Raw genomic sequence first — 14,263 nt, 5'->3', positions numbered from 1 at the left:
TTACAGTTAACACAGTAACATTTAGACAGTAACTTAAAATACGACAATATTGGAAACAGAGCACTCACGTATTTTGAAGTTAAACTTGCAGCACTTATATTAAAGAAGGTTGCATTCGATTCTGCAGCTACTGCTTTAGCCTTTAAAAATCACAAGAGCAAATATTAAATTAGTTCAATATATTACATTTAAAAGATAACCATATTTACCGATTTAAGTACTAGAAAAGATTCTCTAAAAATGTAAGCTATGAGGCCAGGTGTGGTGGCTCATGCCTGTAATCCCAGCACTTTCGGAGGCCGAGGCAGGCGCATCACTTGAGGCCAAGAGTTTGAGACCAGCCTGGCCAACATGGTGAAATCCCATCTCTAATAAAAATACAAAAATTAGTCAGGCGTGGTGGCGCATGCCTGTAATCCCAGCTACTCAGGAAGCTGACGTGGCAGAATTGCTTGAACCCAGAAGGAAGAGATGGTAGTGAGCCGAGATCACATCACTGCACTCCAGCTTGGGTGATAGAGTAAGACTGTCTAAAAAAAAAAATTAATAAAAAATAAAAATAAAAATGTAAGGTATAATACAATCCCCAATACATGGCAATCAATGTGTTCCTTTCTCAGTAATAAGGACAGGTTATAGGAAGAGCTGTGCTTCTTTCTACTCTCCTCCTGAGAGAGAATGAGTAGAGAGAGATTTAAAAAAAAAGAGAGACAGTGTTATTCTCCTCTCTTCTTAGATATACAAAGATAACTGCTTTGAGAAAGACAAACATCTAAGGAAAAGTTACTCTTTCCCTCTTTGTTTCTTCCATCCAGGAGGACTATGCAGAGGAAAGAGGTATCCAGAGCCTGATAAAAACTTCTGGCAAAAGAATACTTAAAAAAAAAAAAAAGCTATAACATACTGATTACTTAAATAAAGTTATTATGATAGTAGAAGCAAAAATCAGGGGTTAGAAAGATACTCAATATAGTAAGGTAAGCTCTTCCAGGTAAAAATTTAATTTACAAAAAATAATGACAATCATACTGTCAAATTTAACCAACCAAAAACACACTACTGAAGATAACGTACATGGTTTTCCATCTACTTCTACATTGAAAAGTAGCTGAAAAACTTAAAAGTGTATCAGCCAGGTGCAGTGGCTCATGCCTGTAATCCCATCACTTTAGGAGGCCCAGGTAGGAGGACTGCTTGAGGTCAGGAGTTCGACACCAGCCTGGCCAACATGGCGAAATCCTGTCTCTGCCAAAAATAAAAAACCTAGACAGGTGTGGTGGCGTGTGCCTGTAATCCCAGCTACTTGGGAGGCTGAGGCATGAAAATCGCTTGAACCCAGGAGGCGGAGGTTGCGGTGAGCCCAGATCACTCAAAACAAAACAAAACAAACAAACAAAAAAAACAAAAGTGTACAATAGCAAAAAGCAAGTCGTAAATAATAGACTCAAGGACAAGATAAAGTTTCTTTTTTTCATATTATCCCAAATATCTCAACAGAAAACTCAAATTTGAAGAGAACCCTTACCAGCATTGTCTTCCCATTCCCAGGTGGACCAAAGAGTAACAGCCCTCTGGCAGGAGCTCTAAGCCCTGTGAACAACTAAAAAATATATACTTTAGTTTACAACTATGATTCTAGAGACATTTTAAGTACTCTTTGCCATCTAAAAAGCATCCTTTTTTCAGTAGCATCTTCCCAAACAGAGCTGCCCATAGCTTTAAAGGAAACACATAATCATAAATTAATGTAATAATTAAAAACAGCTGGGTGTGGTGGCTCACACCTGTAATCCCAGACTTTAGGGGGCAAAGACAGGAGGATTACATGAGCCCAAGAGTTCAAGACCAGCTTGGGCAACATAGGGGAACTCTGCTTCTACAAAAAATTAAAAAAAAAAAAAATTAGCTGGGTGTGCTGGATCACCTGAGCTCCCAGCTATTCAGGAGGCTGAGGTGGGAGGATCACTTGAGCTTGGGAGGCCAAGGGTGCAGTGAGCTTTGATTGTGCCACTGTACTCCAGCCTGGCTGACAAAGTGAGACCCTGTCTCAAAAAAAAAAAAAAAAAAAAAAAAAAAAAGAAATAAAACCAACTCCTCGGTGGTAAAAATGAAAGCAGACTGCTTAAACAAGACATATTGAACATAGGCATGTTTCTCTACTTAGAAATCCCACCAAAAAATACTAAATGAATAAAAAATATATGAATCTTCCAAACAAAAATAGAAAAGGAGATTAACACAATGAATTCCACAAAATGGAGAACTGATAAAGTGTGGTAAATCACTTAGCAGAGCTTAAAACCTAAATGCCTACTTGTGAAGGGATACCTAAATGCAAGAAGCACGCTGACGTGAACAAAAATCCCAGGAAGGTTCAGGAATTGGATGTTATCAGGCACCACAGAAAGCAGTAGTAAGGCAGGCAGTCAAAAACAGAGGAACTGGCCGGGCACGGTGGCTTACAGTGGCTCACGCCTGTAATCCCAGCACTTTGGGAGGCCAAGGCGGGCGGATCACGAGGTCAGGAGATCGAGACCATCCTGGCTAACACGATGAAACCCCGTCTCTACTAAAAATACAAAAAAATTAGCCGGGCGTGGTGGCGGGTGCCTGTCGTCCCAGCTACTCAGGAGGCTGAGGCAGGAAAATGGCGTGAACCCGGGAGGCGGAGCGTGTATTGAGCCAAGATTGCGCCACTGCACTCCAACCCGGGCGACAGAGCAAAACTCCGTCTCAAAAACAAACAAACAAACAAACACAGGAACTGATTGAAAGTTGGTATGAGGAACTCCCCACCAAAGGCAGTCAAGCAGGTACCAATCACCACCAAAGCAGAAGGCAGGAGTTTCGTTCTCTAAAGAAATAAGTCAGAGTCTCCAGATTCAGGGACACTAGGCATGGCAGGAATCAAGGGTAGAGCTCCAGACTGAAAACATCTCACCTACACTTTAATAACAGTGAAGGTGTATGTACTTTTAAGTTGAATCATATGAAATGGCTAATATCCAACTTAAAAAAAAAAACCTGCTGGGCGCAGTGGCTCACGCCTATAATCACAGCACTTTGGGAGGCCGAGGCGGGCAGATCCCCTGAGATCAGGAGTTCAAGACCAGCCTGACCAACATGGAGAAACCCTGTCTCTACTAAAACTGCAAAATTAGCTGGGCGTGGTGGCACATGCCTGTAATCTCAGCTACTCGGGAGGTTGAGGCATGAGAATCGCTTGAACCCTGGAGGCGGAGGTTTCAGTGAGCCGAGATCGTGCCATTGTATTCCAGCCTGGGCAACAAGAGTGAAACTCCATCTCAAAAAATTAAAAATTAAAAAAAAATAAAAATAAAAATAAACTTTTTTTTTAGTGATTTTAGGTTTACAGAAAATTGAGCAGAAAGTACAGAGTTCCCATATAACCTCTCATTCCTTTCCAATTTCCCCTACTCTGAATATCTTGTATTAGTGTAGTACACTTGTTAGAACTAATGAAAAAATATTCATATATTATTATTAACTGAAGTCCATATTTTACATTAGGGTTCACTCTTATGTTTTATATTCTGTGGGTTTTGACAAAGGTATAATGACATGTATCCACCATTGGATTATCATAAAGAACAGTTTCACTGCCTTAAAAATCCACTGTGCTCCACCTATTCATCTCTCCCTGTCTCCCTTGGCAACCACTGATCTATTTACTGTTTCCATAGTTTTGCCTTTTCCAAAACATCATATAGTCAGAATCCTATAGTGTAGCCTCTTCAGACTGGCTTCTTTCATTTAGCAATATGCATTTATGGTTCCTCCATATATTTTTGTGGCTTGATAGATCATTTCTTTTTATTGCTGAATAATACTCCATTACATGATATACCAAAGTCTGTTTATCCATTCCCCTACTTATGGATGCCTTGACTGCTTCCAAGTTTTGGCAACTATGAATAATGCTGCTAGAAATATTCATGTGCAGTTTTTTTTATTGGATGTACATTTTAAACTTATTTGGGTAAATACTAAGGAGTAAGACTGCTGGACCATATGGTAAGAGTTTTGTAAGAAACTGTCAAACTGTCTTTAGTTCTGTAAAAAACTGTCCAACTACCTTCCAAAATGGTTCTACCATTTTAGATTTCCATCAGCAATGAATTAAAGTTTCTGCTGCTCCACATCCCTGCCAGAATTTGGTGTTGTCAGTGTTTTAGATTTCAGCCATTCTAATAGGGATGGCAGGGTATCTTGTTGTTGTTTTAATGCGCAATTTCCCTAACGACATGATGTTGAGCATATATTCATATGCTTGTTGTCATCTATCTATCTTCCTTGGTGAGGTGTCTGTTCAGATATTTTGCCCATTTATTAACTGGGTTGTATATTTTCTTATTGTTGAGTTTTAAAAGTTCTTTGTATATTTTGGATACTGGTCCTTCATCAGATAATGAATTTTGTAAAGTCTCCCACTCTGCTGCATGTCTTTTCATTCTCCTAACAGCATCTTACACAGAGCAGAAGTTTATAATTTAAACAAAGTTCAACATACTGATTTTTTTTTTCAAGGATCATGTTTTGGTATTGTACCTAAGAAGTCACTGCCAAACCAAAAATTTTTCTCATGTTATCCTAGATTTTCTCCTATGTTATCCTCTAGAAGTTTCAGTTCGCATGTTACATTTAGGTCTATGATCCATTTATTTTTGTGAAAGTTGTCAGGTCTGTGTCTAGATTAACTTTTTTGCATGTGGATGTCCAGTTGTCCTATACCATTTGTTGAAAAGGCTATCTTTTCTCCACTGAATTGTCTTTGTCCCTTTGCCAAAGATCAGTTGACTTTATCTGTGTGGGTTGATTTCTAGGCTCTCTGTCCAATTCTACTGATTTATTTGTCTATTCTTTTGCCAATGACATGCTGTCTTGATTAATGTAGCTTTACAGTAAGTCTTGAAATTGGGTAGTTTCAGTCCTCTGACTTTTTTCTTCTTCAATACTGTGTTGGCTGTTCTAGGTCTTTTGCCTTTTCATATAAACTTTAGTTTGCCAGTATCCACAAAATAACTGGCTGGGGTTTGACTGGGACTGCACTGAATCGATATATGAACTTGGGAAGAACTGACATCTCAATAATATTTAGTCTCCCTGTCCATTTACATGGAATATCTCTCAGTTTACTTAGATCTTTGATTTCTTTCATGAGTGCTATAATTCTTCTCATATAGATCTTCTACAACAAACTTTGTTAGAACTACACATATTTCATTTTATTAGTGTTAATATGAAAGGTATTGTGTTTTTTTTTTTGAGACGGAGTCTTGCTCTGTCCCCCAGGCTGGAGTGCAATGGCGCGATCTTGGCTCACTGCAACCTCTGCCTCCTGGGTTCAAGCGATTCTCCTGCCTCAGCCTCCTGAGTAGCTGAGATTACAGGCACCCGCCACCATGCCCAGCTAATTTTTGTATTTTTAGTAGAGATGGGGTTTCACCATATTGGTCAGGCTGGTCTTGAACCCCTGACATCAGGTGATCTGCCCACCTCGGCCTCCCAAAGTGCTGGGATTACAGGTGTGAGCCACTGCACCCAGCAGTATTGTGTTTTAATTTCAAATTCCAGTTGTTCACTGCTGGTAGATAAAAAAGCAATTGACTTTGTATATTAACTTTGTATTCTACACCTTGTCATAATCACTTATTAGTTCTAGGAGCTCTTTTTGTTGGTTCTTTGGGATTTTCTACATATGCAATCATGTTATCTGCAAACAAAGATATTCATCTATTTTTTTTTTTTAAATATAGATGGGGTTTCACTACATTGCCCAGGCTGGTGTCGAACTCCTGGACTCAAGCAATCTTCCTGCCTTGGCCTCTGAAAGTGCTGGGATTATAGGTGGGAGCCACCATGCCTATCCCTCAACTGTTTTTGACCTATAAAAACAGTAATTTCAGCCCAGGTGTGGTGGCTCATACCTGTAATCCCAGCACTTTGGGAGGCCAAGGCAGGTGGATCACCTGAGGTCAGGAGTTCGAGACTAGACTGGTCAACATGGCAAAACCCCGTCTCTACTAAAAATACAAAAATTAGCCAGGCGTGGTGGTGCATGCCTATAATCCCAGCTACTTGGGAGGCTGAGGCATGAGAATTGCTTGAACCTGGGAGGCAGAGGTTGCAGTGAGCCAAGATCATGCTAAGGCACTCCAGCCTGGGCAACAGAGTGAGACTCTGTCTCAAAACAAAACAGAAAACAAAACAAAACCTAGTAATTTCACATGGCTCAACCTAACAGAAAACAAAGTCGTCTCCTCCCACCCATTTTCTGGAACACCAATAGTCAAGCTTGTATTCTCCAAACAAGAGACTAGAAAATTCTTTTCTAGAGAAGCCAAATAACCCCAGAAAAAAAAGACTGACAGCTATAGCCATTTGGAGAAACCCAAATAAACAGTAGGCTTGCTGCTTGATCATCCTGTGATTAATGGGCTCTCACTATCAACAATTTACTTACTTACAGCACAGAGTCCTAATCAACTTTTTTATTGTTCCACGTAATATAAGTGGACAACCAGAATAACCAGACATTTGAGAGAAGCTTCCAATATGAAAAAGCTTAAGGCAAAAAGAAAAGAGGAGGAATCTTGAAGAAACAGATAATAAAGTAAACAAAAGAAAACTTGACAAAACCTCTCAGAGACATAAAAGACACTGCATCTATGAAATCAGAATAGGGCTGGGCACGGTGGCTCATGCCTGTAATCCCAGCACTCTGGGAGGCCAAAGCAGGTGGATCACCTGAGGTCAGGAGTTTGAAACCAGCCTGGCCAACATGGTGAAACTCCGTCTCTACTAAAAATACAACAATTAGCCGGGCATGGTGGTGGTGGGCACCTGTAATCCCAGCTGCTTGGGAGGCTGAGGCAGGAGAATCACTCGAACCCAGGAGGCGAAGGGCGCAGTGAGCTGAGATCGCACCACTGCACTCCAGCCTGGGTGACAGAGCAAGACTGTGTCTTAAAAAAAAAAAAAAAAAAAAAAAGTGAGAAAGATGAAACAAAAAAACTTTTTTTAAATTAAAGAATTATAGAACCTTTCTCAGAATTGAAGGATGAATATCTAGAAAGGTCCAAGAGGGGCTGGGCGCAGTGGCTCATGCCTCTAATCCCAGCACTTTGGGAGGCTGAGGAGGGCGGATCACCTGAGGTCAGGAGTTCAAGACCAGCCTGAAACCCCGTCTCTACTAAAAATACAAAAATTAGCTGGGCGTGGTGGCAGATGCCTGTAATCCCAGCTACTCGGGAGGCTGAGGCAGGAGAATCGCTTGAACCCCAGAGGTGGAGGTTGCAGTGAGCTGAGGTTGCACCACTGCACTCTAGCCTGGGTGAGAAGAGTGAGACTCCTTCCCCCCTGCCCCCACCTAAAAAAAGAAAGAAATGTACAAGAGGGAAGAAGAAAAGAAAAAGTAAATGCATCAAGCATATCATTATAAAATATCAGAAGATAAGAATAAAGAGAAGATCCAAAAAGCTTTGGGAAATAGAAATAAGAAGTCCAATGCTATCCTGATTCCTGATCTTCTGTCTCTAATACAAAGCAGCACTGGAAGCTAGAAGACAATAGATAATGCCTTCAAAATACTCATGGAAAATAGTTTCCAACTTAAATCTTGACATCCAGTCAAATTATTAATGAGAAGACAGCAGAATAAAGATATTTTCAAAACTACAGCATCTCAAAATATTCCCTCACACAACCTTTTCTCAGTTACTGAAAGATGTAGCCATCAAAATGAGAAAATAAATCATGAAAGTGGAAAATATGGAATTTAAAAGACAGGAGATACATAATAAAGAAAGGAAAAAAGGAAAAGGAAATTATGATGGTAGTGAAGACAGATTAGAGAACAACCACTTTGACACAGGCATGGAAAGCATTTGGTCTCGAATGAAAAGAAGAAGGTGGTTCCAGGAAAAGGTATTCTGGGAAAAAAAAAAAAAAAAAAGACCTGAGTTAACAGGTTTTTAGATTGGTTTGGCCATGTGGAAATTAGACTGAAATGGAACAGAAGAATTATCAATCGATAAGATGAAAATGAAGCAAATGAAAAAATAACACAATTATTTAGGGGAAAAAAAGGCTGTACAAGGAAAAAATAGTACGCTACTTGGCTTGGTAATGAATAATATTTAAAAGCACTAAATATTCACTGTACTCCAGCCTGGGTGAGAAAAAGTGGGAGGACAGGAGTAGAAGGTGTGTGGTATGATGGAGCTAAGGGTTCATTTACTATGATATGCAAGTTAATAGATTCGAAAAGGTAACAAAAATTAAGAAATGGCTTTATAAGATTATTTAAAGAGGTAAGTTCTAACATTTTTGAAAGAAGAAAGGCTTATGTTTAAGCTTATATGAAAGATAACATCATATTTGGAAATTCATGGAAATTTCTGTAATCTCAGCTACTTGGGAGGCTGAGACAGGAGGATCACTTAAGCCTAAGGCCACGCTGGAGAACACAGCGAGACTGTCTCAATCAAAAAAAAAAAAAGAAAGAAAGAAATTCATGGAAATTTTAGTAGATAGAGAAGAGCTTTTTAAAACTGGAGAACAATCACATTCTTCTATAAATCTCAAAGAATCACATTTAAGCAGCAAGAGAACAAAATAAGAAATATAAAAGCTCGAAATGATAGACAAGCTGCACAGGATACAGAAGAGATCTATGAAATAAGGACAGAAGAATATACGCTTTCTTAGTAAAATATTTGAGAAAAATATTTAGACAGATCACTGTGATATACTTTAAAATGTAGTCTTACTTTTGGGCGAGAGGAGAGGGCATGTTCTATTTTCTGCTATTTAGTTTGAGTTTTTTGTCAAAGATTAATATTGGCTACTTTCAAAAATTATGTTTAATGTTAAACTACAATTAAAAACATGGTCCTATGGGATTGAAGGAAGATGGAGAAGTTTTTCAATATCTCCTTCCAGGGCTATGGCTTCATGAATGAGCAAGATTTAAAGCACTTATTTTAAGTAATTCTGAGAACAATCTACCTCAAGTGAGTATCTTTAGTATTATCTCCTTAAAACCAGTTTTAGATGACTAATTATGATTCTGTGTTTCTACAATGAAATAAAAATTCCAGTATACTCAAGAATGCCTGCCACTCACCTTCTTGATATAATCTAACAATGTCTCTATTGTGGTCTATGCAAGCTTCCTACTACAGGGAATTAGGAATAAAGCTGATTTTTTTACACAATAGAGGCGTGTTATGGGATAAGTCTTACCCATTCATAGGCTTAACAAGATTCATTTTGTGAGTCTATTGTGAAACGCTGAGCTAGGACAATAATATTCCCTTTCTTGGAAATCTGAACTACAAGGAAAAAAAGTTCCATTTGGCAGGTGTGGTGATGTATAGACAAGTTTGTACCAGGATATAAACCTTTAGACCTGGCTCTACCACAGATCTTGCTCTTCCTTAGGTCTCAGTTTGCTAAGTTTACTAAGGTTTCTGCCCCTCCTGAGGTCAGGTTATTCAACTTTATTTGAAATAACTTGCAACTGGCATTTTTACATTATTATAGCTTCTTAATTGCACATTATGTCACTACCATGAAAATATGCCTAAATTCAAATTCACATGTTACTTATTATTTTAGATATGTTCTCTATAGGCCTGGGTAAAGCAAAAGCTGAATGACTTTTCTTGCATAGCCTAAATATTTCCTTGGTATTACCTTCACAATTTTAGATATATTTTTCTACCGTAAAAAGCATGTCCCTTAATAAATAAATGTAAGAATTAGGTGGCAGCTATAGCACTAACCAGGCAGCTCTAATCTTAGAAAGGTATTTCCTAGGTCTACCACTTAACTAAAATCTTGAGCAAGTCATTTTAGCTCTTAGGACTAGTTTCTTTATCAATGAATCGATCAGAAGACTGCTAAGATCCTTTTCAGGTCTACAATTATGTAAATCCTCTTTAAGCAAGCTTTTTTTTCAATATTTAGTCTATAGCATTTACTAATCTTATATAACTCCAGCAAAATGTTAGCTCAATACGTAAGCTACGTTTCCCAAAGTGTGACCTGAGGTGGTACATGACATAAATCCAGTTCACATAATGACAAATGCTTTCTATTTTAATAATTATCTAATTATTTTACTGGGTATTAGCGAAAACCTAACTTGCATATCAGACCAGTGATTTTATGTACTTAGAATGAGTAATAAGTAAAATAGACTTGAAAAATATTCAGTAAGTTCTAGTACAGTTGGTACTCACTTACAAGTGATAAACACCATAAAGGCAGTATGTGAATGACTCAAGACTATGGAAAAATTGAGACAGCCATAAAACCTTTGCACATTTATTTAATAATGCACCCACCACAACGTGCCACACAACTTATTTCCACTACATGTTGCAGGTAGGTCCGTAAGATTTTAATGTTAATAGTGAAATAACTGTGACCCAGAAGTGAGTCTTCAGATTTATTTTTTGCAATATTATTGGAACAGCACTAAATATACCATCTGTGAACTGGAAAAATTCAAAACGGTGCTAAGTATGGAAAGCCAAATATTTATTATCAACTGCAAGATTGCCTATCTTCCTTAATAAGTCATAAAATATGGGATGGAAGATTAGGTTTCTACCCATCATTTAATGGCTCTATCTACTTTGATGACTTAATATCCTTAAAAGTCATTCTTTTAAAAATTGTTCTTCATGCCAGGCACAGTGGCCTCTGCCTGTAATCCCAGCACTTTGGGAAGCCAAGGTGGGCGGATCATCTGAAGCCAGGAGTTTGAGACCAGCCTGGCCAAAATGGTAAAACCCTATCTCTACTAAAAACACAAAAATTAGCCAGGTGTTGGGGTGCATGCCTATAGACCCAGCTACTCAGGAGGATGAGGCATGAGAATCACTTGAACCCCAAAGGCAGAGGTTGCAGTGAGCCAACATCAAGCCACTGCACTCCAGCCTGGGTAACAGGAGCAAAATTCCATCTCAAAAAAAAAAAAAAAAAGAATTATTCTACCTGAATTCCTCTTTTCTCCAGTACAATTTCTCTCTTTTTAAAAATAATTAAAAAAAAAACTTTCCCATAAAGTACTTGTTTATTATCACTGTCACGTTGGTATTTAGCCTTCGATGGAGTTTACCACACTCTTTGAGCGGCATTTCCAAGCAATCCAATTCTGGGAAAACTCATTGTGTCAGGGGCCACTACCTGCCTGATTTCCTTCTCTTAATATTATTTATTTATTTTTATGTATTTATCTTTTTAAATTTTTATTTATTTTTTTGAGACGGAGTCTCGCTCTGTCGCCAGGCTGGAGTGCAGTGGCGTGATCTCGGCTCACTGCAACCTCCGCCTCCCGGGTTCAAGCGATTCTCCTGCCTCAGCATCCCGAGTAGCTGGGGTTACACACCACCAAGCCCAGCTAATTTTTGTAATTTTAGTAAAGACAGGGTTTCACCATATTAGCCAGGATGGTCTCAATCTCTTGACCTCGTGATCTGCCCGCCTCAGCCTCCCAAAGTGCTGGGATTACAGGCGTGAACTACCGTACCCGGCCTGTTTTGTTTTTGAGATGACATCTCGCTCTGTCACCCAGGATGGAGTGCAGTGGTGCCATCTTGGCTCACTGCAACCTCTGCCTCCTGGTTCAAGCAATTCTCCTGCCACAGCCTCCCCAGTAGTTGGGACTACAAGCGTGCGCCCCCACACTAGGCTAATTTTTGTACCTTATCTTAATTTTAAATCTCTCTCACCTTGATATCAAAATTTGGCCAGATGTAGTGACTCACACTTGTAATCCTAACACTCTGGGAGGCCGAAATGGGTGGATAACTTGACATCAGGTATGAAAGACCAGCCTGGCCAATATAGCAAAACCCCATCTCTACTAAAATTACAAAAATTAGCTGGGCATAGTGGCACATGCCTGTAATCCCAGCTACTTGGGAGGCTGAGGCAGGAGAATCACTTGAATTCTGGGACGCAGAGGTTGCAGTGAGCTAAGATCATGCCACTGCACTCCAGCCTGGGCGACACAATGAGTGAGACTCCGTCTCCAAAACAAAACAAAATTATATCATACTACCCACTTTTCCTAAAAATATAAAAGGATTGGAAATTAGGAACTCATATCCATTTTCCTATTCTATAATAACTTCTCAACATCAATTGTTAATGTTTTATCTTTTTTAAAACATTAAATCTATTGTTACCTTATATGAATTAATTATTTTAGTATAGCTCAAATATTTCTTTACTACTACTACTACTATGGATTCAGTAACAGATGGTATTATAGAAAAATGATAATATAAAGTTCTTACCTCAGGCCTCAGAGAAGGAAGAATAACAATTTCTTGCAATGCTTGTTTTGCCAAGTCTTGACCAGCTATATCATCAAATTTAACAGCTGTTCCACTAAGAAACAAGACCTCAGTTAGTTCTACGATACAAACAGGGCCCAGTTATTACAAGATGAAGCCTAAGCCCTATGACATATAGTTATTTTTAATGTTAACTGTTAAACTATAGTTAAATCAGTAAAGCAATGGTTTTCTACATTTATAATTGAAAACTATCATAAAAATTAAGTATGTAAACCAGACAAGGTATTTATTATCTATTTCACTCCTGACATGTTTTATAAGTAAAATTAAAATATAAAAACTATAAAATAAAACATTTAGATGGCAAAACTTACTTGTCCACAATTTCATTCATTATAAGGTTAGCAAGGTTGCTGTCCACATTCCTAAAATTCTTCAAGTCTTTTTTCTTACGAGTAGCAGTTGTAGGGGTAGAAGGTTTATTTGTCCTATTTGTTTTCGGAGTACCCTTAAAGGATACAAAATTTTAATATGAAAATACAACCTAACATTTACACTTTTCATAAATAAGTTAACCTTAAAGTTCACAGAATTCAAGCTTTAAAAATAGGAAAAAGGGTATAAAAATCCATAAATTGTATATTTATTTACCTGAAGGTAAAACTGTATTCACTAGAGAACTATATTTGGCATTAAGTCAGTTATAGAGGATTTTATCCAGAGATTTAGTTTTTACAAAATAAAAACAAATTTTAACCCTTGTTAGAATCATGACAAAACTCTAGGTATGTTACTGGTATAAAACATTTACAAAGATTGAAATAATTTTAAAAATAAATTTAAAATGAAATATACAGCATTATATAAAACAGACTGGGTAAGCAAAACTTGGTATTAAATGTCTAATGAGGTCCAAAAAAAGTTTTATAGCAAGTTGCCCTGTGGATTTAAAAAAAAATTAACTTTGGGCACGGTGGCTCACGCCTGTAATCCCAGTACTTTGGGAGGCTGAGGCAGGCGGATCACCTGAGGTCGGGAGTTTGAGACCAGCCTGACCAACATGGAGAAACCCCGTCTCTACTAAAAATACAAAATTAGCTCGACGTGGTGGTGCATGCCTGTAATCCCAGCTACTTGGGAGGCTGAGGCAGGAGAATCGCTTGAACCTGGGAGGCGGAGGTTGCAATGAGCCGAGATCGCGCCATTGCACTCCAGCCTGGAAAACAAGAGTCTCAAAAAAAAAAAAAAAAAATTTAACTTTATGGAAACTTATCCATTCTCTAAAGTATTATAAAGTACTTATGATCAACTTAAGCAGGAATAGTATCTTAAAAATTTTTCTATTTGCAAAAAGACAGCAATTAAAGTTACTGTCCCAGAATACCTTATGAGTGGTAGGAGCAGGACCAGATCCCTGTTTCACTCCAGAAACCATGGATAAACCACTGTAACTAGGTGCTCTATGGTGGCCTGAAAGGCCTGCAGATCCAGTTTTCATAACTGTTTTTGAACGAGGCAGTGAATTACTAGTGTGTGTTAAGGGGTCTTTTCTTTTTGGAACAGCTCCACTTTCTGACAAGGAAAAAGTAAAACCATTGTGATTAGAAAATTGTAGCTGAACATAAAGACAAGCAAACATTTGTAAAACCAAGGTAATAATATATTTTTTTAATTCAAAAATATTTCAAAATAAGATTTCAATGAGAACATGTACCAGGATCTTCATAGGGGTGGTCACTAGGTAGATAGGAATATGGTTATTAGGTTTTTTCCCCCTAACGTATAATTCTAATTTTCTCTTTTTTTGAAACCTGTGGCCTGGGCTGGAGTGCAGTGGCATGATCACAGCTCATTGTGGCCTTAATCTTCCTGGGCTCAAGTGATCCATCCTCCCACCTCAAACTCCCAAGTAGCTGGGACATCAG

The 14,263-nt window shown here is 38.3% G+C and overlaps 1 protein-coding gene across 5 annotated transcripts in view; it reads right to left on the bottom strand.

Annotated features, from left to right (window-relative positions):
- The window catches only part of SPAST (spastin), a 94,082-nt gene that overhangs the window by 29,090 nt on the left and 50,729 nt on the right, over positions 1–14,263 (bottom strand). For all 5 annotated transcript variants that reach the window (NM_014946.4, NM_199436.2, NM_001377959.1 and 2 more), the window contains 5 exons: positions 13,723–13,910; positions 12,713–12,846; positions 12,336–12,429; positions 1,526–1,600; positions 69–140 (listed from right to left, as the gene is read on the bottom strand). In NM_014946.4, the coding sequence (NP_055761.2) occupies positions 69–140; positions 1,526–1,600; positions 12,336–12,429; positions 12,713–12,846; positions 13,723–13,910 (563 nt within the window). The remainder of the gene's footprint in view (positions 1–68; positions 141–1,525; positions 1,601–12,335; positions 12,430–12,712; positions 12,847–13,722; positions 13,911–14,263) is intronic.

The sequence above is a fragment of the Homo sapiens genome, chromosome 2 (assembly GCF_000001405.40).
Source record: "Homo sapiens chromosome 2, GRCh38.p14 Primary Assembly".
Lineage (NCBI taxonomy): Eukaryota > Metazoa > Chordata > Mammalia > Primates > Hominidae > Homo > Homo sapiens.
Note: the sequence above shows the minus strand (reverse complement) of the source record. Positions and strands in the feature narration are given on the sequence as shown.